Source organism: Homo sapiens, chromosome 1 (genome assembly GCF_000001405.40).
Source record: "Homo sapiens chromosome 1, GRCh38.p14 Primary Assembly".
In the NCBI taxonomy this organism is placed as follows: domain Eukaryota; kingdom Metazoa; phylum Chordata; class Mammalia; order Primates; family Hominidae; genus Homo; species Homo sapiens.
The window spans coordinates 201,045,377-201,067,185 of record NC_000001.11 but is presented as its reverse complement, the minus strand read 5'-3'; the positions used below and the strand labels follow the sequence as shown (position 1 = coordinate 201,067,185).

Sequence of the window (21,809 nt, the reverse complement as noted above, 5' to 3'; positions counted from 1 at the left end):
ATTTCAACAACTGCGAGCAGAGATAGGAAATGCATTTAGGCCACTGCAAGGAGTTGAGTGAAATATAGAGATTTCTGGAAGGCTATTGCCTCAGTAAGTGCTCTCCTGAGCAGAGGCGAGAAGCCCTTGTCTGTGGGAGACAGGCCTGTTCTCCAAGCTCCTCCATCCAGGCTGCTGCCTCTTTCTCCCCAGATGACGACCTACGGAGCCTTCCTGCACAAGGGTTCCTTCTGCCGCAATTACTTCAACATGCTGGACCTGCTGGTGGTGGCCGTGTCCCTCATCTCCATGGGACTTGAGTGAGCAGCGGCAAGGGCCAGCCCTGGGCACAGACCACCCTCTGCTCTGTGCCAGGGCTTTGTAGTGGGAGTCCCACCCATGTTGGTGGGCCCCTGCCACAAGAGGAGGGTCTCTCGGGGCCTCCGATGGAGGCAGGGGGTCCTGTGGGTTGTCACCAGCTGGAATGTGGGTTGCCACCAGTGAAGTGGGCAGCGCTCTGTTCTAGAGACTGGCAGGAGATGCAGAGAGGAGGAAGTGGTCCCTCCCTCCCCGACCCTGTGGGGAGCACAGCCCCTGCCTTTGGGGTGCTCACCGTCTGACGGGAGGGACGGAGCTTCTAGCCACCCACAGGGGAAGGCTGTCTTCTGCTTCATGACACACCCATGAGAGCATGGTCCAGATAGCAGGGGTGGCTGTGCCCTGGAGTCGGGCACACTCTCACGGCTGGAGGAAAGGGAAGGGGAAGGTGGGAGTGTTTTCAGGCAGAAAGGCAGCTGGTGTGGAGGGCAGGATATGGCTGGAGGCTCCACCGCAGACTGGGCTGGCTGGAGCAGGCTGCCCTCAGCCCCCTCACCATTGCCGCCCCCCAGGTCCAGTGCCATCTCCGTGGTGAAGATCCTGAGGGTGCTGAGGGTGCTCCGACCACTCAGAGCCATCAACAGAGCCAAGGGGTTGAAGGTGAGAGAGGGCCCGGGCAGGAGCCCCAGAGAGGAATGGGAGGGGTTACAGGGGCCTCCTCGCTCCAGAAACCTCAGCCCAGCCATGGCTGGGACCCCTGTCCCATCTCCCTGGGCAGATAGGGGTAAGGATGAGGCTGGGGTAGCTATGCTTCCCCACCAGCCTTTCCCCACCTCCAACTCATCAGGAGGCAGCAAGTCTTGCACTCCTGGGGTTTCCTCAACTGGGCTAGCAGGGTTACTGTGGGTGCACCCCCAGTCCCCATTGGCCCCTCTGTCCCCAGCACGTGGTGCAGTGCATGTTCGTGGCCATCAGCACCATCGGGAACATCGTGCTGGTCACTACCCTCCTACAGTTCATGTTTGCCTGCATCGGCGTCCAGCTCTTCAAGGTGAGCCCCAGCCTGCGCGAGCAGCTCCCCCTCCCGCTCCCAGCCCTGGTGCCCACTCTCAAGCACAAGGAGCCCCACATTGTGAAAACAGATGTCTTCGAATGCACAGATTTCCATATGAGAATATTTTATTTTGAAAAATAGGTCTTCACCACACCAAACACATAAGTTTGCAGAAAGCCAGTAAGACATCGTTACATTTAAATAGCACCTTGAGTTCCACAAAAGCAGCCCAATGATAATCTCAGAAACAGTCAATGGGCTTCTAACACTACTGAAATGGTAGCAGAGGGTCATGTGTCTACTGAGTTGAAATTTAAATACAATTCAAGCCCCATCTCTTAAAGCTATTGTCATGCACTTAGAATTCTATCAAACAAAACAAGAAAACGGTTAGTTTGATGTCCATCTTTTAAATATGACTATGAAACTTCAATCTATAAATACAACTCTCCTAAATCAAACTTTTAAGAGACAGCCATCTTTCAATGATGGTTAATAGCTTTAAGAGATCTAATAAGCTAAAATGAAAACCTGACAGCAACTATCTTAAGCTCTTTTAAAAATTAAATACACAAGCAACACAACACATTATTGAGACTCAAAGTGAATTTGCTTCAACTGAATGCACAGAGTTTTAAGGCTAATATGTGGCAAGTCCAGATCCAGTTTCCTCAGTGACATCCATCCCGGGCCTCTTGGTTGACTGCTGACCACTGTTGCCATTGTATCTGCTCTCTCCCTACCCCACGTGGCTTTTCCTTGGGGAGGGAGGCCCCTCCTCCCAGGGCCCCACAGCCATTCTTCTCCCTTCCCACCCTTGCCCGCTTCCTCCCATCCTGCCAGGCCTGTGCCAAGCATACGCCCTATCCCAGCCCCACACTCCGCCTCCGTCAGTGCAGCTGGGCTGCGGCAGCCCATCTTCCTGGCTGGTATGTCTGGCATCATCCACATCTACCAGGAGCCTCTAAGGCTGGGAGTTCATCATCTCACATCCGGAGCCAACCTTATACTTTTCTCATTTTCCTAGGAGAACACAGCTATTCAGTTCCTCTCTAGGAATTAGCCCTACAAAGATGTCCCTCACACAAACCCTGATTTCCAGATGTCTCTGGCTCTCAGATCATTTGCAGGACAGAGAAATTGATTCCTAAGTATACACCAACACCCTTGATACTTCCTGCATGACCCAGCTGCTCCTCCTATCACCAAAGCACGATCTTTCAAAGTCATAATTACATAACCCCAGTCAGTCTTAGACATGAAATGGCATCATCTTACAATCATTCATTCATTCAACAAACATGTATGGAGTATGTTTTCCATACTTGAGCCAGGGCCTCTGCTAGAGCTGAGGGCCTTACAAGCCAAATCCTCGCTGAGGGCAGGGAACAGGCTCTGAGAGAAGCAGCAGCGTGGAGCCCCTAGAGAATCTTCGCGGGGAATAGGTCTTGTTGGTCCCTGTCCTGGAGGGACGGGAGGGATGGGAGTGTTTATTGTGTCTGGCCACTCTGCCAGCTGCGTGCAGCCTTCTCCCCCTGGCCCAACTGAGGGCTGTCCACCTCCTGCTCCCCAGCCCCCTCCTCTGCCAAGCTTGGGTCCCCAGAATCCCCTGAGGGCAGTGTCTGTGTCTGCCTCATCCCTTTGCCTGGCCCCCTGCCCAGGGCCTGGTGCAGAGGAGGCCCACCAGACACGCTCCCTGAAGGAATGAATGAGCCGCTGCCCTCCCTTTGGCTTCCACGTCCCTTCCAGACAAGCAAGAGCAATTGCTTGTCAACACCCAACTCTCGCCATGCTTTTGTCTCTCATTAAAAGACCCCCAGCTCCTGCCTTCCAGGAGGTTCTAGAAGCATAACAGTTCCAGTTGGCATTTGATGTCGCTTTTGACTCTGTGGAAACACCACGTGCATTCCACATTATAGCAGAGTCAAGCTTTGCTTTCCATAGTAAACTGGGCATTTGGTGTTAAGTGCCCAGACCCTGCCCAGTGGCAGCTCTATCCACTCTCTGCTTACCCCCAGTACCACCCGCCTCACCTTCACCTTCTGCTCCAGCAACCATAAAAAGGGCATGTGATAGGAACAGCACAGATCTGTGTGGCAGGGGCAGCGGGGGGCAAGGGCCAGCTGTGTCTTCAACTAGTGCTGTGTCCTTGGCCGAGGCAGTTTCCCTATCTGGGTCTTTGAAGGAACTGCACCAGAATCCGTGGATCTCAAGCCTGATTTAGCCTCTTTAAGACCTAGCCATCCTGCTGGACGCGGTGGCTCATGCCTGTAATCCCGGCAATTTGGGAAGCCGAGGCGGGCGGATCACTTGAGGTTGGGAGTTCAAAACCAGCCTGACCAACATGGTGAAACCCCTTCTCACTAAAAATACAAAAATTAGCTGGGCATGATGGCACATACCTGTAATCCTAGGTACTCAGGAGGCTGAGGCCAGAGAGTTGCTTGAACCGGGGAGGCGGAGATTGCAGTGAGCCGAGATCACACCACTGTACTCTTGCCTAAGCGACAGAGTGAGCAAACAAAAAAAAAAAAGACCTAGCCATCCACTACTTTCCTTCAAACATGTTGCTCAGGGACCCAATCTGAGACACAGATAAAAGGAGTAACTGCCACAATGTGCACATGTACCCTAAAACTTAAAGTATAATTTAAAAAAAATTCTATAATAAATAATCTGCAAAGCCTTGAAAAAAAAAAAAAAGGATTAACTGCTCTGGCCAAAGTCAGTGCAGAGGAGCACAGAGCCCCCCTACCTGGGCCTTGGGCTGGGACATGGGACCCCGCTTGACTCTGAGACAAGTTGAGTCATCAGAGCCCAGCTGGGCTCCAACTCTGCTGCTCCCGCCCCACTGGCAGGAGGATGGAGGTGGGAGGTGGGCAGCCCCTCCTCCTTGTTCCATAATGGGAGACCACAGAAGGCCTCCTGCAGCAGTGCGGGAGGTAAGGGGCTCAGAGGCTCAGCTCCCCGAGGGAGGGGCAGGGGCCAAGCTGCACTCATGTCCATCCCCTCAGCCCATCAGGGGGCACTCAGTAAATGCCCCTCTGAGGCACTGCCTTCTCGGTCTTGGCAGCATCTAGGCTGGGTGGGGAAGCCCTGGGGGAGCTGTGGGAATGAACGATGGTGAAGAAAGGAGGCTGCTCTGGGGCCCTGCCCCAAGGGCGAGTTCACGCCTCTGAGAGGAAGAGATGGGCTTGGGCTCCTTTTTTCAGATGCCTGCCTTCCCTCCCCCCTTCCACTGTTCACTCCCAGAGCCCACTTTTCTATCCTGTTTCCATGACAACATGCCTCCCTCCCTCCCTCCCTCTTCCTGGCTGCAGGGGAAGTTCTTCAGGTGCACCGACTTGTCCAAGATGACAGAGGAGGAGTGCAGGTACATGGGGCAGGGAGCACAGTGGGACGGTCACGGGGCAGGGAGCATGGTGGGACAGTCACGGGGCAGGGAGCACTGTGGGAGGGTTACGGTCACGGGGCAGGGAGTGTGGCAGGACGATCACAGGGCAGGGGACTGTGTGTTGGTGGATGACGGCCCTTCAAGCTGGAAACTGGGGAAGCTCAGCCTTTAGGCTTAGGAGGGACACTCACAGAGGCCCCTTTCCTCGGACTCGCCCAGCGGTGTCCCCTTGGGTCCCAGATCTGGAACTTCATTTCTCCTTCACACTCCCCACCCAGGGCCCAGAGGATGTGGGTGGGGCAAGGCAGCCCAGCCATGCCCTGTGGAGTGACTGGGCCTCCCTGCCACAGGGGCTACTACTACGTGTACAAGGACGGGGACCCCATGCAGATAGAGCTGCGTCACCGCGAGTGGGTACACAGCGACTTCCACTTCGACAATGTGCTCTCAGCCATGATGTCCCTCTTCACGGTCTCCACCTTCGAGGGATGGCCTCAGTGAGTGATGGCTGGGGCCTAGGTCCCTCATGGACATGGTCAGGTAGGACCAGGCAGCCAGCCTGCCCTTCTGCAGCCCCCACGGTGCTACTGCTACCTGTGGCAGGCGTCCAACAAACCCACCAACTCTCTGATGGTTTGATGGTATGTTGACTGGTCACTCCAAAGTAGGCCTGACCAGGGGTCTCTGACAAAATGCACGCAGTCCCCCATAGGTGTATGCCTCTCTGCCCACAGGGCAGATTGTTAATACTGATTGATTAGGGATAGATGGGGCAACCTCTTGAAAGGCAGGGCCATTCCAGGATTGGGTCTGGTCTTTCCTGGCGCCGACCTAACTCCTGTCCCGTAACTTGATTGTTGAGAAGGCTCTCTTGGCTCTCCACAGCCAGTGGGATAAAGCCCATCCTTCCCAGCCTGACTCTCTGCCTTGTCACCCCACCCAGTCTGTCCTCTCTTCTCTGCCCACCCCCAGGCTGCTGTACAAGGCCATAGACTCCAATGCGGAGGACGTGGGTCCCATCTACAACAACCGTGTGGAGATGGCCATCTTCTTCATCATCTACATCATCCTCATTGCCTTCTTCATGATGAACATCTTTGTGGGCTTCGTCATTGTCACCTTCCAGGAGCAGGGAGAGACTGAGTACAAGAACTGTGAGCTGGACAAGAACCAGGTGCCTGGGCTGCCTGCCAGAGGTGGAGGGCAGAGCTCCAGCAGGCCTCCTGCTGGCCCAAGCCCTAGGTTCAGCCAGGGAAGAGAGGCCTAAGGGTGACCCCAGAACCTGCATTTGATGCCAAGCCCTAGCCTCCATGCACCCTACCCTATCTCCAAACTGAAGCAATACAAGTTGGTAGAGTGGGTCTTCTTGTGGAACCTCATGATGCCCAGAGAAAGGAAGCCCTTCAGACCCACAGTCTAGTCTATAGCACCCATGGGAATGGGCTGTGATAACTCAAGGGGAACCCAAAGCCCAACAGGATTATTCCCCTAAACAGTTCACAGTCCTCAGCCACAGCCCCTGGCCACAGCTGCTCCTGACTTGCCCGTCAATCCCATGGATGTGGGTGTGGAGAGGGAGGGAGGGGCCTCTTGGTGCTGACCTGTCCTGTTGTATGTGTCACAGCGCCAATGTGTACAGTATGCCCTGAAGGCCCGCCCACTGAGGTGCTACATTCCCAAAAACCCATACCAGTACCAGGTGTGGTACATTGTCACCTCCTCCTACTTTGAATACCTGATGTTTGCCCTCATCATGCTCAACACCATCTGCCTCGGCATGCAGGTAAGGGCTCCCCAGGAGAAAAATGTCTGATCAGACTGGGACCTGGGCCTTGGGTAGGGCAGGATGAGTAGGGCAGGATAGCCAGGATTCCCCCCAGTAGACATTTCTTGTGCACTGTGTGCTGAGGTGCTACATGGAATACAGAAGTGAACTGCGCACAGGCCTTGTCACCAGGCACTTATGGTTTATTAAGGAGGTAATTCAAGCATAAAAATAGTACGGTAATTCTGCAAACAGGAGATAGCTACCACAGAAGGAGGAGAAAGTGTGGGAAGTAGAAAGTGCTTTCTCTGTTTTTCTTCTGCTGTTGCAAATCTGGATGGTTGAGTTGGCTGGAATCTTGGCTCTGGTCCCAAGAAAAATGGGTTTAGTATTTGCAAAACAGATGTCTCTCTTGGGAGTTGAGCACCCTTTATAGACAATATCATAATTAGCAGCATCGTTATCAAGCCTCGATTAAGCATCTGATTCCTTAAGCCCTGTATAAATAGGATGGTGTAACTAGGCTCCCTGCTCCTAGAAGCCCAAGACACACCCAATGATAAGAACACACACTGCTAGGTCATGGTGATATGGAAAGACAATCACTGAGCCAGGAGGCCCAGGTCGCAGAGGATCATCAGCACTGGCTTGTGTTTGGGGCTGAGTCAGGCAGCAGAATTGGGCAGTCCTGCCAAGGCAGGGCAGGGTGGAGGCAGCCATCAGATCCTCCCAAACTACCTGGAAGGTTTTGTGGAAGAGGTAGAATTTCATCCACTTTCTAATAAAAGGGTAAGAGATCCCTGGGAAAACTTACAAGGAAGTAGATTTAAGGAGGGTCATAGTGGTAGGTGACAGGGGCCTCACCATCATGCCTCATAATCACTGGGGGTGGTGTGCAGACACAGTAAGCTTGGTGAGCTCTCAGTTTCCCACTAGTAGCCAGTGATAACATGGACTATGGAATCCAGGGGTCTTCTTTCCCAGTCCTGTACCCAAATGACTAAACAGAACCTGTTACAGAGCCCTGCCTGGACGACCTGCCATCCTGGTCCTCCCAAAGCAGATATGTAAATGAGCTTTGGCCTTGCAGCCCTGCATGTAAATGAACGCACTCAGCAGGACTTGGAATTGGAGCCCCTCCCCTTCTGTGTTATCTCTTTTGTGGTGGTGGGGTAGGGGGAGGGTGTTCATAAAATTTGGCGGAACTCAGGGGATTGCTAAAGCAGCTTCTAGTTTTCTGAGCTAAAACAAAGTGAGCAGGGGGCCCAAGAAAGGGTTGGGGGCTTCCCAGGAAGAGGCAGGGGCTCTGGGAATGCAATCTACAGGGTGGGCAAACCCGGCCCCCCTGACCCACTGCTCCTGTGTCCCCTCCACAGCACTACAACCAGTCGGAGCAGATGAACCACATCTCAGACATCCTCAATGTGGCCTTCACTATCATCTTCACCCTGGAGATGATCCTCAAGCTCATGGCCTTCAAGGCCAGGGTGAGTGTGGGGGCCACCGGGCCAGATGAGAAGCTGGGGCTGGTGGGTGGGACCTTCCAGTGGAACATCCACCCCCATCCCTCATCCTATCAGGGCTCCTTTGCCCAGCACTTCTGCTCCCAACTTGCTCACCCCTTTGCCCACTTCCACCTTCAGACACAGGGCAGGCAGATCTTCATGCAGCCAGAATTGACAATGACAGAAAGACTCTGGGCGCCTCTTCCTTGGAGCTTCTCTTACATTCTCGCCTGCTCTGAAGTTTCTGAAGAACAGTCCCAGGGCTGGGGGAAAATCTTGCCTTGTCTCTTTCGTTCTCAAGTCCATTGCCATGGTTCCCAGCACAGCCCTGTCAGTTCCGCACTGTCAAGCCCCAGATAGGATGTTCAGTGGGGTTCAGGGGATGAAAGAGATCTCTATCTGGACCAGGACCCCAAATCCTGAGTTCCCAACAATTCTCCCCTCCCCCCCACCACTACTTTCTGCTCTGGAGGAAGGGAACTAAAGAGCAAAGGGGAGAGGAGTGTTGGAGTTGGGGGAGCCCACTGGAGCACCAGTGGGAGGTGGAGTCATGGGCACCCCACCTTGGCCTAACCCGCAGCTCCGCATTAGCTCGGGTGGGACACTGTCCTCTGCCAGCAGCCAGAGCTCCTTCCTCCCAAAGCTCACCCCCTCGCTTTCCCATCCTTTTCCTTCCCAGGGCTACTTTGGAGACCCCTGGAATGTGTTTGACTTCCTGATTGTCATTGGCAGCATCATTGATGTCATCCTCAGTGAGATCGACGTGAGTATCAGGCAGGCAGAGCCATCACTAGGGTGGGCCCAAGAGCATGTGTTCAATCCACAGATATTTGTGGGGTGCCCACTGTGTGTACAACATGGAACCCCAGGGGTTAAAAAGATGGAATGACAAGTCACGGCTTCTGCCCTCAAGGAACTATCATCCTGCTGGGCAGAGAGGTAACTCAGATACCAGGGGGACACAATGGGTGTACCTACTACACTATCAAAGGCAAGAGCTGTAACGGAAAGGAAAGTCGTCTCTGGGTGGGGTGGTCAGAGAAGGCTTCATGGAGGTGGTGCCATCTGCCTGAAGGAAAGGGAGGTGGTGACTGGAGCTGGAGAGGAGAGCAAGCACCTCAGGCAGGGCTACTGTAGGAGAGGCACAGCGCAGGAAATGCAAAGAAGGTTCAGGGCATGCTGAGTGGTCCAGTTTATTGGAAGCATAAGAACATGCAGAGAAGAGAACAGAGAGGGCAAGGCTGGAGAGCTAAGCGGTGAGAGTGGGCTTCAGCTTTATGGAGCAGGCAGTGGGAAGTCACTAAAGGTTTTTAAACAGGGCAGTGGGAGGATTAGAGTCCTACTTCTTTTTTAAAAAATATGTTTTTGAAATATAGAGATGGAGTCTCCTCGTGTTGCCCAGGCTGGTCTCCAAGTCCTGGGCTCAAGTGATCCACCTGCCTCAGCCTCCCAAAGTGCTGGGATTACAGGTGTGAGCCACCGCGCTGAGCCCTTAGAGCCCTGCTTCTAAAAAGCTAACCTGGAGATGAGCAACAGGAAGTGAGGATGACTAAAATTAAGAGACCCAGTTAGAAGACTCACTCATTTATTTCTCAAATATGTACTGAGTACCTCCCATGTGCCAGGCATGATTCTTGCTGCCTGAGATACAGCAGTGAACAAAATTGTGGAACAAACTGGCAATAAATAAATCAATCTCTAATATGACAGGTATGACAAGTACATAGTATTATACAGAAACATAAAGGGAGTTAGAGGCTTAGAGTGGAAGAGAATGGGAGGGTGGTGTCCATATGACACTGGAGCAGAGGCCTGAAGAAAGCAAGGGCATGAGCCATGCCAGAACGGGGGCCAGAGTGTTGGCAGAACACGACAGCAGTGCAAAGGCCCTGCAGCAGGATGGTGCTTGCTGAGTTTGAGGAAGAGCAGGAGGCCCTTGTAGCTGGAGGAGAGAGTGGTGGAGATGAGGTAAGAGAGAGAAGGCAGGGGCCAGATCATCTAGGCCCTTGAAGGCCATGGTTATGATCTTGGATTTTATTCTGAGGGAGATGAGAACCCTTTGGAGGGTTTAAGTGTGAACAGACTTTAGTTCTAAAACAATCACTGTGGCTGCTGTGTTGCGAACAAACTAAACTGTAGGGGACAAGAGGGCTGACCCAGCGAGAGCAGTCAGGGGGTTCCCGCAGTGATCCAGGTGAGAGGCGATGGGGGCCGGGGCTGGCTGTGGAGGCTGTGAGAAGGGATCAGTGTCTGGATCTATTTTGAAGGTTGAGCTGACAGGAAGGCTCCCAGAATCTGGACCAAGGGGATGAGGGTTTGGAGGTGGAATGAGAAACAGCAGCAGGACCTGCCTTATGAAGGGGATGAAAGGAGCAGGGAGGCAGTTCCAGCCAGAGAGGTCCACATTCAAGACCTTAGAAGCCGATCCCTCCAGAGGCTGCCTTGCCAGGGGTCTGTAGCTGAAGGTTGCTGCAACGAAGGAGGGTGGAGAAGATCCGAGAGTCAGAGGCCAAAATCAAAAAACAGTTGCCCAAGTGGCATCCTGGGAGGGACACAGTGGAAAAGAGAGAAAGATGAGCATTCTTCTTTCTGAGCCATGGTGGGATGTCACCCAAGGGCTGGCTGATCTGACCACGAGGGATCCCAGCAGGGGACTGGTCCCAAAGCTAGGGGCTCACCCATGCATAGGGCTTTCTTCTGAACTGCCCACTGCTCAACAGAAAGCCCTTAGGCTGTGCCAGCCTGTGGGGTGAACCTTAGGGTGAGTTGGGTATAGGGGTGGAAGGATCAGCACTGGGGATGCCTGAGGTGGGGTGTGGGTGAGAGGAATGGCTGAGGAAAAGTCTGGAGTCTCTGAGGAAGGAGCCCTCAGCTGAGGCTGAGCTCTGGCAGGGAGTAGGGACTTGGCTGTCACATCGTCTGTCTGATGTGCTAGGGGAGGGCCAGGGTGGGAACCCTGTTCACCCTCCATGCACAGAACAGACGGTGACAGACAACCCCATCTGCTCAGATCCCCTGGGGGCGCTGAGCTAGCGAGGGGCAGGGTGGGCTCTGAGCAAAACCAGTGTGTGTGTGTGTGTGTGTGTGTGTGTGTGTGTGTCTGTCTGTCTGTCTGTCTGTGTGTGTGTGTTGTGTATTTCCATCCACACTCAGTTTTTGCTGGGAAATAGTATCCCAAAAGCCTCCATGGTTTGACAGCAGCACTTCTCACCAGCACAGCCAGAACAGAGAAATCTAAACAGCCAAAATAAACAGCCCAAACTAAAAATAGTTACTTCTTAAAATCTGAGGTCTGTGTAGCGGAAGCCTGGATATATCAAAACAGTGTCTTTGGTGGTGGAGGCCAGGAGGGTGTCACTGGTTTTTATTTGATTTTTAGCAGATGTCCCTTACCAGTAGTGTTTGCTTAAAGTCACGTGAAGATTGATTTACATACCTGATGTACAAACCAGGGAAAGGACTAGGGGAGCACATTGGTTAGAACTTTCTGCAAGGACAGAAATGGTCTGCCCTGTCCAATAGAGTAGCCACTAGCCACACATGTCTACTTGTCACTGGAAAGGTGGCTAGAGGAACTGAGGAACCAAATTTCTGGTTTTATTCAATTTTCATTGTAATTCAAATAGTCACATGTGGCTAATGGCTACCATATTGGATAGCACAGGTATAGAACACTGGTCGTCATCCTTGCTTGCATATGAGAATCACCTGGGGTGCATTTAAACTTCTGAAGCCAGGCCCCATCCCCTAGAAGCTGACTTAATTGACCTAAGTGCAGACCCAGCAAAGGTATATGTGTTTTTCGAGTTCTTCAGGTGATTCTGACATACAGCCAGGGTGGAGAACCAGTGGTCCAGGGAAAATCTGCCCCAGGGAAAATCTGTTGTTTAATGAGAAGACCAGTATGCCAGGGATCAGTCTACCTGTGGATAATTGGAAGATAAAACAATGACTTCTTTTGACCCAGGGCTGCAGAACAAGGGCTTCTCATGAAGTGTGGCCCAAGGGAGTAAACAGGAAGAAATTGCTCCCACACACCTACCCACCTGCTCTTCAAGAGCCCGAATACTGAGATAGAAGCCTTGGTCCCAGGTCCAGTCCTGGACAGAGAAACATCTGCTGTGGGGATTTCAGACTCCCCCAGAGGAGCTGTGCCCCTGGGAGATGGGACTTCCACAGGGGCCCGGACCCTGGCCTCAGGGCACTATGGATGTGAATCCATTTACAATGAGCAGGCATCTTCCAATGCGCCTTCATTAGGGACGTCCCCAGCATCACATAACCCAAACACATAAGAAAAACCCAAACCCTTGCCACCCGTAGCTGCATCTCCAAAATGAGAAGGGATCTGTCTGTGTCCAGCCTTCCCTCCCCTTCTTATTTCCTTGTCCCCCACCTCTTGCCTCACAGTTCCCACAGAGCTTCAGTCCTCACTCCCACCCACCCCGCCCCTGATTGGCAGCCATGTGGGGTCTTTAGCCCCTGCCTCTTTTTCTCTTTAACTCTTCTGTGTGTCTGTCCTTTCTGACACGTCTCTTCACCTCCCTCCCACATGTCCCTCCTCCTCTCTCTCCTCTCCTTCCCCTCCCTTCGTCTCTTTTCTCCACAGACTTTCCTGGCCTCCAGCGGGGGACTGTATTGCCTGGGTGGAGGCTGCGGGAACGTTGTAATTTCAGGCTGCACGAGCCTGCCTGGCACGCTCACCAGCTCCTGCCCTGCCACTTGCATGCATGGGCCTGGCTGCGTGGATTGCATGGGGTGGATCAGCACTCAGGGCTCCCTCCCCAGGGCAGGCCCTGCTGAGGACCCAGGCTAGGCTCGGGTGGGGGCAGAGGCTCTGCAGTCAAGTGTGCATGGATATAGCGGCTTCCTCAGAGCCCTGGGAGATGGAGTGCGGGTTCTCTCTGGCACCCTCTATGCAGATGGAAACACAGTCCAGAGAGAACTGTGATCGCTGGCAAAGGACCTTAGTGACAGTTCATTGGGCACAAGGCCTTTGAGGACACAGGAAGCAGAGCAGGGGCAGCTCTCCCCTTCCAGAGTATTTCGTGTATCTAAGGCTGGCACAAGATTAGAGGCTTGCCTGGCTTAGAACAGCCGTGTGCAGGGTGGGAGTGATGGGGAGTAGCCACATTGAGTTTGTGGCAATAGAGCAGCCAAGCTTTGGGAAATCTTTGCACTGGGAGGACGCCAGGGGAGGAGCCCTAGGAGGGCCACCAGGGTCCTCGACTCAGTGGCAGCTTGAGGAGATTGTGAGATGTGCAGCAGGTCCCAGAGGGCAGGCAGTGGGCCTGGGTGCAGCCACACCCCAGGGCAAATCCCTGCCACTGCTCCCAAGTGTGGGCTTCACCACGCTGCCTGGTGCCCCACGTCCTCTTCCCTGCCTCCCAGCTGAACAGCCCCAGAGCCCTGTGCCCAAGGATGGTCCCGAACTAGTGGACAGCAGGGGCCAGAGGCGGGGCTGGAGTTCCTCCATGCCACAAACATCTCCCCAAAACACACAGTGCACCTCCCTCCCCGCCCTGCCCCTTACCCCTCTGAGGTTCTGCCCCCAGACTGACCTCTGGGGCTGCTGCCCCGCAGGACCCAGATGAGAGTGCCCGCATCTCCAGCGCCTTCTTCCGCCTGTTCCGTGTCATGAGGCTGATCAAGCTGCTGAGCCGGGCAGAAGGAGTGCGAACCCTCCTGTGGACGTTCATCAAGTCCTTCCAGGTGCAACAGGGACCCTGGAAACTGCACGTACCTGGGGAGGCCACTAGGGACATCTGCCTCAGCCCAGGGTGGGCCCCAGGGGAGCCCTGGGCAAGGCAGAGCCCTGGGGAGCTAACAGAGGGCAGGGCTGCAGACACACAGTGGAGCCCTAAGACACTGACTGGCGCTCCCGCCCGCCCTGCAGGCCCTACCCTACGTGGCTCTGCTCATCGTCATGCTCTTCTTCATCTACGCTGTCATCGGCATGCAGGTGAGAGGCAGGCGGGCCCAGGCCAAAGCATGGATCTTGGCCAAGTTAGAGGGGGCATCAGTGGACCCTGAGGAGCCTGAGCAGCACACGGGCTGGACCCTCCGCCCTCCCTGCCTTGCTCGTGAGAAAGAAGGAGGGACAACCTCCCTGATCGTGGATGGCTGGAGTGTCAGATGCTTGGATGCCAGCCAGGAGAAACCTGGGCATGTGGGTGGACAGCAGGGGCCAGGCTGTCTCTCTAAGGCCTGACTGGAGCCCTGGGTGGCCTCTGTCTACCCTCCCCTGAGAGCACTTCCCCCACACATTGACTTACCGGGTCTGCTTGCTGCTGGGAAAACGGGTCTACCCTCCCTCTTTTCTTTGGCTTGCTAAGAAGAACTTTACCTGATCTAGAAAATAATCCCGTTTTTTTTGGCTTCAGGTCTGATGTGGCCCGCAATGAAGGGAATTTTGGGGAAGTAGGGGCGAAGGTAGGGGTCAGGCAGGAGAAGGCAGTGGGGGATAAGCTGAGGGGACACTTTAATCTAGGTTCCACAGTCAGGGCCCTTTGTGACTTGCAGATGTTTGGGAAGATCGCCTTGGTGGATGGGACCCAAATAAACCGGAACAACAACTTCCAGACCTTCCCACAAGCTGTGCTACTGCTCTTCAGGCACGCGTCTCCCGCCACCCCCACCCCTACCCCGCTGACCAGTCCAGCCTTTGCTCTGTTCTAATGTGCACTGGAGCCAGGGCTGGCTTCATGGGTGTGTGACCTGTGCAGCCACACAGGGTCCTATACTCAGAAGGGTCCCCTGCTTGGTTGCATGCTCTGCCGTCACTGCCTTGAAGATATTCATCATTTTGAACAAGTGGTCCCACAGCTTTATTTTGCACTGGGCTCCTCCACTGAGTGAAGTGCTGCATTTTCCTCCCATCTCATCCCCATGAAGCAAGAGACAGAGGTCAGATATCTTCTCCCGGACATTTGCCCTCGTCGCTCCCAGAGCATGAGCAGGAATGCAGGGAAAGGCAGAGCAAAGCTCCAGATGGGGTGGGGGGCGCTGCCACAGGTAGGGCGCAGGGGCCTATGCTTGGCCAGGGCACAGGAGCTAGAGCTTGGATTGCAACCGAGGATCCTGGGCTGCAGGCCTGCTGGGCGTGCAGGAGCCAGGTGGGAGAGGTGAGCTTCCTGGCCCACAGTGGAATGCTCTACTGAGACCAGACAAGGCCTAGGGACACCCACACCCAGGGCCCCTTCTTGGCACAGCGTGTCAAAGGCTCCATGAGGTCACAGCAGCCTGCAGCCCTTATGGCCTGTGAAAAGGAGACCGGCACCTCACCGTGTGCAGGCAGAGATTCCCACCTCGCCCCAGCTCTGCACCTCAACTCCAAACCCGAGGCCACCCTGCACTGCCTGCTCTAGGAAGGAAGGGAGCTAGCTGAAATGAGACAGTTATTAGACACAAAGGAGTGGGAAGTTATGTAGTCTGGCTGAATGTGACTAGAGGAGACACTTCTTCCCAGCTGGAGAGGTGGAGGGAGGTTATCTACAGAGCAGGTTGTAGCAGTTACTGGAAAAATGCAAACATGTCATGCATATGCACCTCGGATGCATTGAGATTCTTCATTCAACAGCGACACATCCACAAGGTGTGAAATCTAAGGGCTGCTTTTGTGACTCAGCCAGAGTGGGTGGCAGTTGAATTCAGCCAGTTGGGTTCAACTGTGGGGTTACCTCAGAGAGTGGAGTCAGTTAATCTCTTTGAGGCCTCTGTGACATATGACCCTGCCTTGCTTTGGTCAGAACAGTGCATCCCTCTAGTAACTTGAATCAGATTGATTTTGCCCTCTTCTCTAAAGTTTAGCTCCTGCTTGTAACACCCCATGAGGGCTGCAGCACAGAGGGGAAACTGAGGCCCAGCTCACACTGAGCTACACAGTGAACATGAAGATCTGACCTCCTTACCATTGGACAACAGCCCCAGTTTGCTCATCTGTCCACACCCTGCTGCCACCTGACTGCCAGCCTTCTGAGGGGCCAGGCAGGAGCAGATAGGTGACAGGAGCCTCTTCTGTCCTCTAGGTGTGCAACAGGTGAGGCCTGGCAGGAGATCCTACTGGCCTGCAGCTATGGGAAGCTGTGTGACCCAGAGTCGGACTATGCCCCAGGGGAGGAGTACACATGTGGCACCAACTTTGCATACTACTACTTCATCAGCTTCTACATGCTCTGTGCCTTCCTGGTGAGATGCTGAGGGCCTGCGGGGCAGGGAGAGGGCTTTGATAAGCTGAGGCATGGGGGAGCCTGCCTGCCCCTTCCTGGCCAGTTTCCACCTCTCCTGGGATTCATCTCGGGGACGCAGGAGGCTCTAGTTAGGTTGTCCCCCATTCTGGTCATCCTGAGTGTGGCTTTGTTTCCTGGGTGCTTTTTCATACTCCAGAGAGGCTGCCAAAAGTTCTTACTTTTTTTTTTTGTTTTGGTTAGCACTCATCAAAAGGAATTTAGCAAGGCCAGAGAGCACTGTCTGTGCAAGAGCACAGAGACATGACAGAGCATTGCTGTGTGTGTGATGTGGGTGGTTCAGAAGGGCTAGAATCAAGGGCACAGGAAGCGAGAAGTTGTGGGCCAGTGGACACCTCCCAGCTCCCCCACCCTAACCCTGTACCACCTGCCTTTCTGTGTTGGGACCCCTTGGTTCTTCTCTTGCAGGTCATCAACCTCTTTGTGGCTGTCATCATGGACAATTTTGACTACCTCACCCGGGACTGGTCCATCCTGGGCCCTCATCACCTGGATGAGTTCAAGGCCATCTGGGCAGAGTATGACCCAGAGGCTAAGTGAGTCCAATCTGTAGGCTCTGTGCTGGGCCCTCCATCCTAGACCCTTCCTACCGTCTCACAGGGAGTCACTCTCCAGTTTATTCAGTATGAGTGGGCTTCTCCTTCCCCCTTCATTTATCTGAGGTCTCAGATCAGAGAATCAGAGTATCTCCAGGTTGGAGGGAATCCTACAGCTTTCCGGGGTGGAAACACCCTTGACTTTATTGAGAAATTGTCATCCAGCTCCTGCTTGAACACTCCTAGGAGTAGGAAGCTATATACCTCACCAGACACTCTAGACCCCAAATCAAAGTGCGGTCCTCTGACCAGCAGAAGCTGAGCTTGATTAAAATGCAGAGTCGCAGGCCCCTCCCAGGCTGACTGAATCTAACTCTTGCATTGCTCTGAACCTGAGCCTTGGGACATTCGTATGCATTTAAAGCTTGGAGAGCACGGCTCTCTTACTTTCCTTCCCGATAGGAAATAGGCATCTCCCGATGGTCTCAGTCTCAGATGAGGAAACTGAGGTTCAGAGAGGTTAAGTAAGTTGCCCCAGTCCATGTAACTGGTAAGAGATGGTGCCAAGATACAGTGCAGGTCTGTTTGGTGCCTATAGCAACCGTGCTTTAAAGTGCCTCCATCAGCAGGAGCCAAACCTACTTGCCTCTACCAGCCACCCACAGGTCCTCATTCAGCCCTCTGGAGACAGGCGGGGAATGTTTCATCTCTTTTTCGCAGCCTGCCCATCAAAGAAAAGAGGAAGCCAGTAGGACTTTCCAAAATGATTTTTCTCAGGCAACACTCACAAGCTGCTCTTGCCATGCTTGTCTTTTGATCTGACCTCCCTGGTTGTTCTGTTTTATGTCTATTCTGGGAGTCACGGTGCCAATGAAAATGTGGTTTCCAGCTCTGGACCAGCCTCTGGAAGTGGGCTTCCACCTCCTTTGATCTACACCCACTACTTCTATTAATATAGCCCAAGGGCCCCTATTAACTTGACCAAAACCTAAGAAAGATACTGATAGGGAAAATGAGGTCTGGATTCCAGACCTGGTTATCCCATATCTGAGGGAATGCGCCAAAGGAGAGAGCCTATTTTGGGGTACCCATTTTGTAGACAACAGTTAATCCTAACATTGTCTCTTCTTTTAAAAGGGAGCTGGGCTCCCACTTCCTAAACACAGTTGGAAAATAAGGAAATGCTCCCCTGTTTCCTGGCTTTCTTTCCCATTGCCCATCCTCTGAGCAGAAAGGTTCTGGCAGCGGAGGAGGGTAGCAGGTACACAAGTCTGTGTGTCCTCCCGCAGGGGGAGAATCAAACACCTGGACGTGGTGACCCTGCTGAGAAGGATTCAGCCCCCTCTGGGCTTTGGGAAGTTCTGCCCACATCGGGTAGCTTGTAAGGTAACCAGAGCTGCCAGGGATGGGTGGCCCCAGGGAGGGGAAGAGTCACTGAGGCAGAGGGAAACTGGTGAGGACCTGATGGAGTGAAGCATTGTAGAGCCGGGATCTCCTGGGTCCCCAAGTTCCTCCCAAAGGGCCTGAAGTCTCAGCAATGTCACCCAACTCATCATTCTGTCCCCTCACAAAGGATGTCCTGGTCAGCTGACACCCCCAGCCCTCGTGTCCCGTCCCCTCCCGGTCCACAGACCGGGTGAGGATGACTTGCCAAGCTTGGCCTGGTCCCAGCTCAGCGGCAGGCCACTGCGTCTCCCTGTACAGCGGCTGGTGGGCATGAACATGCCCCTGAACAGCGACGGCACAGTCACCTTCAATGCCACACTCTTTGCCCTGGTCCGCACGGCACTCAAGATCAAGACGGAAGGTGAGAGTGCCTTCCAATGTGAGCCCCCTCCTTTCTCCCAGAGGCTGTTTCTGGCACAGATTCTGCCAGATTCTCAGAGCTCAAGATTGCTCTTAAGAACTGTGGGAAGAAGTAGAGGGAGGACCCCAGGCCATGGGCACAAAGTCCTCATGCCCCTCAGGGCTCAGAGGGAGCCTGAGGGTTTTCTGCAGGGCAAAGATCATCAAGGGTCTGTTCCCACACTCCTCAGCTGTGTCTGGGGGCCAGAGAAGGGCCAGTGCTGGCACAGGGGTCAGGGGTGCCCTGCAGTTTGGCTGTGAGCAGGAGCAGAGGAGGTTCTCAGGCAGCACTGGGCAGGCTGACGGGAGTCCACATTCGACTCCACTAAATCTGCAGGTCCTCACCTACTGGGAAGACAAGCATGGTGGGAGCAGGGGAAGGAGTCAGGGTGGGGTCTCAGTATTGTCTCTGAGCCCTTGCTCAGGGCTCACACTGTATCAAGCTCAAGTCTCCAGCTGTATCAGGTCCATCCCCACATGGGGACCACTCCAGGAGTCTGAGACAACCTCAGGGTGAGCTTCATTAGCAGGGCAAGATGAGGAAGACCAGAAGTCAGGAAGGAGCAGGTTAGAGCTGCAGCAAGTCTGCCTGGGGGTATTTGGGCCAGACCACAGTGCCTGGGGAATTGAAAGATTTTGGAAGAAGAGCAGGAGATGACAGCCTGTAAAACCAACCACTCTGGGCACTGGAAGCCAAGGCCTGTGGGGAGAAAGTACATGACCCAAGAGTTGGGCTGCCCCAGGGGGACAGTGATGCCCTCCCACCATTGCCAGTACCCAGCAAGGCAGCTGCCACAAAACTCAGCCAATGTTTCTTAGTAAATGACTGGCTGTCTGAAAGGTTCAGAAAGAACTGGGTGGCCTTGTCAAGTGCAGTTGGTGTGATCTGGGTAACTTTTGCCTTTCTCCTGCTCCAGGTAACTTTGAGCAGGCCAACGAGGAGCTGAGGGCCATCATCAAGAAGATCTGGAAGAGAACCAGCATGAAGCTCTTGGACCAGGTCATCCCTCCAATAGGAGGTAGGTGCTACTTTGGGGGACCAGAGTCCAGAAGCAGCCAAGGAATGGGAGTGGGGAGCTTCTCCAAGGAGCCCCATGGGAATCTGAGAACGGACCAGATCCTCCATAAATGCCTTAGGTAGATCCCACGGGCATCCAACCTCAGGATGGAAAGTGCCCAGTGACCAAGTCAGCAAGACAAAGGATTGCTTGCATGCCCGGGCCTGGCTACAGCTGGCTCCCACTCTGAATCCAGTGTCAGATTCCCACTAGCCTTCAGGGCATCTCTTGTTGGCTCCTCTGCAGATGATGAGGTGACAGTGGGGAAGTTCTACGCCACATTCCTCATCCAGGAGCACTTCCGGAAGTTCATGAAACGCCAAGAGGAGTATTATGGCTATCGGCCCAAGAAGGACATTGTACAGATCCAGGTAAGCCCAATCCAGGTATGTTCCAAGGGGCTCCCCCACTGAGCCAGGTCTCCAGACTCTAGTTATCCTTCCATGTCCTTGAGGGGCCAATGATGGAGACATAGAGGGAAAAAGGAAGCCCAGAAGAGTGAAAAAATGTCAAGACAGTTCTGGGTAGTCCATGATTGAAGATGTTTCAACCTCAAAAAAAGAACCAGGGCGCTTCATCTCTGGATGATAGGACCAAAGAAAATAGGATTTGTTCAAGGGAGAGACAAGTTAGATAAGAACAGTGGTCTCTAGGCCAGGCGCAGTGGCTCACACCTATAATCCCAGCACTATGGGAGGCCAAGGTTGGCAGGTTACTTGAGGTCAGGAGTTCAAGACCAGCCTGGCCAACACGGCGAAACCCCATCTCTACCAAAAATACAAAAATTAGTCAGGTGTGGCGGCATGTGCCCAGCTACTCAGGAGGCTGAGGCGTGAGAATCACTTGACCCTGGAAGCGGAGGTTGCAGTGAACCGAGATTGAGACACTGAACCTCAGCCTGGGCGACAGAGTGAGACTGTGTCTCAAAAGAAAAAAAAAAAAGAACAGTTCTCTCTAAAGAAAGGTGATCCATGAAGGGCTCTTAAAATGTTCCACTGGGTATGGGTCCAGGTGCGGTGGCTCACACCTGTAATCCCAGCGCTTTGGGAGGCCAAGAAGGGCGGATCACTTGAGGTCAGGAGTTTGAGACCAGCCTGGGCAAGATGGTAGAACCCCATCTCTACTAAAATTACAAAATTAGCTGGGCATGGTGGCATACGCTTGTAATCCCAGCTATTTGGGAGGTTGAGGCGGGAGCATCACTGGAACCTGGGAGGCAGAGGTTGCAGTGAGGTGAGATTGCACCACTGCACTCTAGCAAGGGTGACAGAGTAAGACTCCATCTCAAAAGATAGATAAATAAATAAATAATAAATAAATAAATAAATAAATATGTCCCATTGGGTGTGAAAAGAAAACTTTAGAACTTTTTGTTTTATCTTATCTGGTTTTATTTCTATTTTTGGGTTCACTGTAATGCACATAATTTATAAAACCCCCAAATACACATGCATTTGAGCTGTGCTCAAAAATTTATTTCAATGGCTATTTTTATTTTGAAATAATCTCATACTTTTAAAAAGTTGCAAGTATAATATAAAACCTTTTTTTCTGAACCATTTGAGAGTAACTCCAAAATGATGTTCCATCATCCAAAAACACTTTAATGCATATTTCAAGGCATTGTGTGTATTCAAGGCAAAATGTGTATTACAAGGGCGTTATCCTGCATAATTCTTCTATGTAACCACAACATAACCACAAAATCAGGAAATTAACACTGATGCTTTTTTTTTTTTTTTTTTTTTTTTGGAGACAAGAGTCTCGCTGTCGCCCAGGCTGGAGTGCAGAGGCATGATCTTGGCTCACTGCGACCTCTGCCTCCCGGGTTCAAGCCATTCTCATGCCTCAGCTTCCTGAGTAGCTGGGATCACAGGCACACACCACCATGCCAGGCTACTTTTTGTATTTTTAGTAGAGATGGGGTTTCGCTATGCTGGCCAGACTGGTCTCAAACTCCTGACCTCAAGTGATCTGCCTGCCTCAGCTTCTCAAAGTGCTGGGATTACAGACGTGAGTCACCATGCCAGGCTAATACATTACTACATTCTAATCCTCAGACCCCATTCAAATTTCATTTGCTGTCCCAGTAAATGTCCTTTATAGCAA

General features: G+C 53.1%; 1 protein-coding gene across 2 annotated transcripts in view, besides 6 other annotated features; it reads left to right on the top strand.

The window, feature by feature from the left end:
- The window catches only part of CACNA1S (calcium voltage-gated channel subunit alpha1 S), a 72,915-nt gene that overhangs the window by 45,241 nt on the left and 5,865 nt on the right, over positions 1 to 21,809 (top strand). Inside the window, exons 20-38 of one of the 2 annotated variants that reach the window (NM_000069.3) lie at positions 193 to 299; positions 870 to 957; positions 1,241 to 1,348; positions 4,672 to 4,724; positions 5,096 to 5,242; positions 5,718 to 5,919; positions 6,370 to 6,528; positions 7,887 to 7,997; positions 8,695 to 8,778; positions 12,625 to 12,681; positions 13,599 to 13,727; positions 13,912 to 13,977; positions 14,538 to 14,629; positions 16,043 to 16,202; positions 16,670 to 16,797; positions 18,087 to 18,183; positions 18,502 to 18,604; positions 19,560 to 19,661; positions 19,947 to 20,071. In NM_000069.3, the coding sequence (NP_000060.2) occupies positions 193 to 299; positions 870 to 957; positions 1,241 to 1,348; positions 4,672 to 4,724; positions 5,096 to 5,242; positions 5,718 to 5,919; positions 6,370 to 6,528; positions 7,887 to 7,997; positions 8,695 to 8,778; positions 12,625 to 12,681; positions 13,599 to 13,727; positions 13,912 to 13,977; positions 14,538 to 14,629; positions 16,043 to 16,202; positions 16,670 to 16,797; positions 18,087 to 18,183; positions 18,502 to 18,604; positions 19,560 to 19,661; positions 19,947 to 20,071 (2,118 nt within the window). The remainder of the gene's footprint in view (positions 1 to 192; positions 300 to 869; positions 958 to 1,240; positions 1,349 to 4,671; positions 4,725 to 5,095; positions 5,243 to 5,717; positions 5,920 to 6,369; positions 6,529 to 7,886; positions 7,998 to 8,694; positions 8,779 to 12,624; positions 12,682 to 13,598; positions 13,728 to 13,911; positions 13,978 to 14,537; positions 14,630 to 16,042; positions 16,203 to 16,669; positions 16,798 to 18,086; positions 18,184 to 18,501; positions 18,605 to 19,559; positions 19,662 to 19,946; positions 20,072 to 21,809) is intronic. The other variant, XM_005245478.4, reaches the window with a different exon arrangement.
- Positions 3,928 to 4,701: an enhancer, noted in NCBI's record as "H3K4me1 hESC enhancer chr1:201031613-201032386 (GRCh37/hg19 assembly coordinates)". NCBI's record gives its function as "activates a minimal SCP1, AML or CMV promoter by ChIP-STARR-seq in primed H9 embryonic stem cells {active_cell/tissue: H9 hESC(primed)}" and the evidence as "EXISTENCE:reporter gene assay evidence [ECO:0000049][PMID:30033119]".
- Positions 7,496 to 8,249: an enhancer, noted in NCBI's record as "H3K4me1 hESC enhancer chr1:201028065-201028818 (GRCh37/hg19 assembly coordinates)". NCBI's record gives its function as "activates a minimal SCP1, AML or CMV promoter by ChIP-STARR-seq in naive H9 embryonic stem cells {active_cell/tissue: H9 hESC(naive)}" and the evidence as "EXISTENCE:reporter gene assay evidence [ECO:0000049][PMID:30033119]".
- Positions 7,878 to 8,084: a silencer, noted in NCBI's record as "fragment chr1:201028230-201028436 (GRCh37/hg19 assembly coordinates)". NCBI's record gives its function as "represses an EF-1alpha promoter that drives an FKBP-Casp9 reporter gene in an ReSE screen in phorbol 12-myristate 13-acetate-treated (for megakaryocytic differentiation) K562 erythroleukemia cells {active_cell/tissue: K562(+PMA)}" and the evidence as "EXISTENCE:reporter gene assay evidence [ECO:0000049][PMID:32094911]".
- Positions 9,579 to 9,698: an enhancer, noted in NCBI's record as "active region_2308". NCBI's record gives its function as "activates an Ori minimal core promoter by ATAC-STARR-seq in GM12878 lymphoblastoid cells {active_cell/tissue: GM12878}" and the evidence as "EXISTENCE:reporter gene assay evidence [ECO:0000049][PMID:35858748]".
- Positions 13,212 to 14,169: an enhancer, noted in NCBI's record as "H3K4me1 hESC enhancer chr1:201022145-201023102 (GRCh37/hg19 assembly coordinates)". NCBI's record gives its function as "activates a minimal SCP1, AML or CMV promoter by ChIP-STARR-seq in naive H9 embryonic stem cells {active_cell/tissue: H9 hESC(naive)}" and the evidence as "EXISTENCE:reporter gene assay evidence [ECO:0000049][PMID:30033119]".
- Positions 14,757 to 15,257: an enhancer, noted in NCBI's record as "H3K4me1 hESC enhancer chr1:201021057-201021557 (GRCh37/hg19 assembly coordinates)". NCBI's record gives its function as "activates a minimal SCP1, AML or CMV promoter by ChIP-STARR-seq in naive H9 embryonic stem cells {active_cell/tissue: H9 hESC(naive)}" and the evidence as "EXISTENCE:reporter gene assay evidence [ECO:0000049][PMID:30033119]".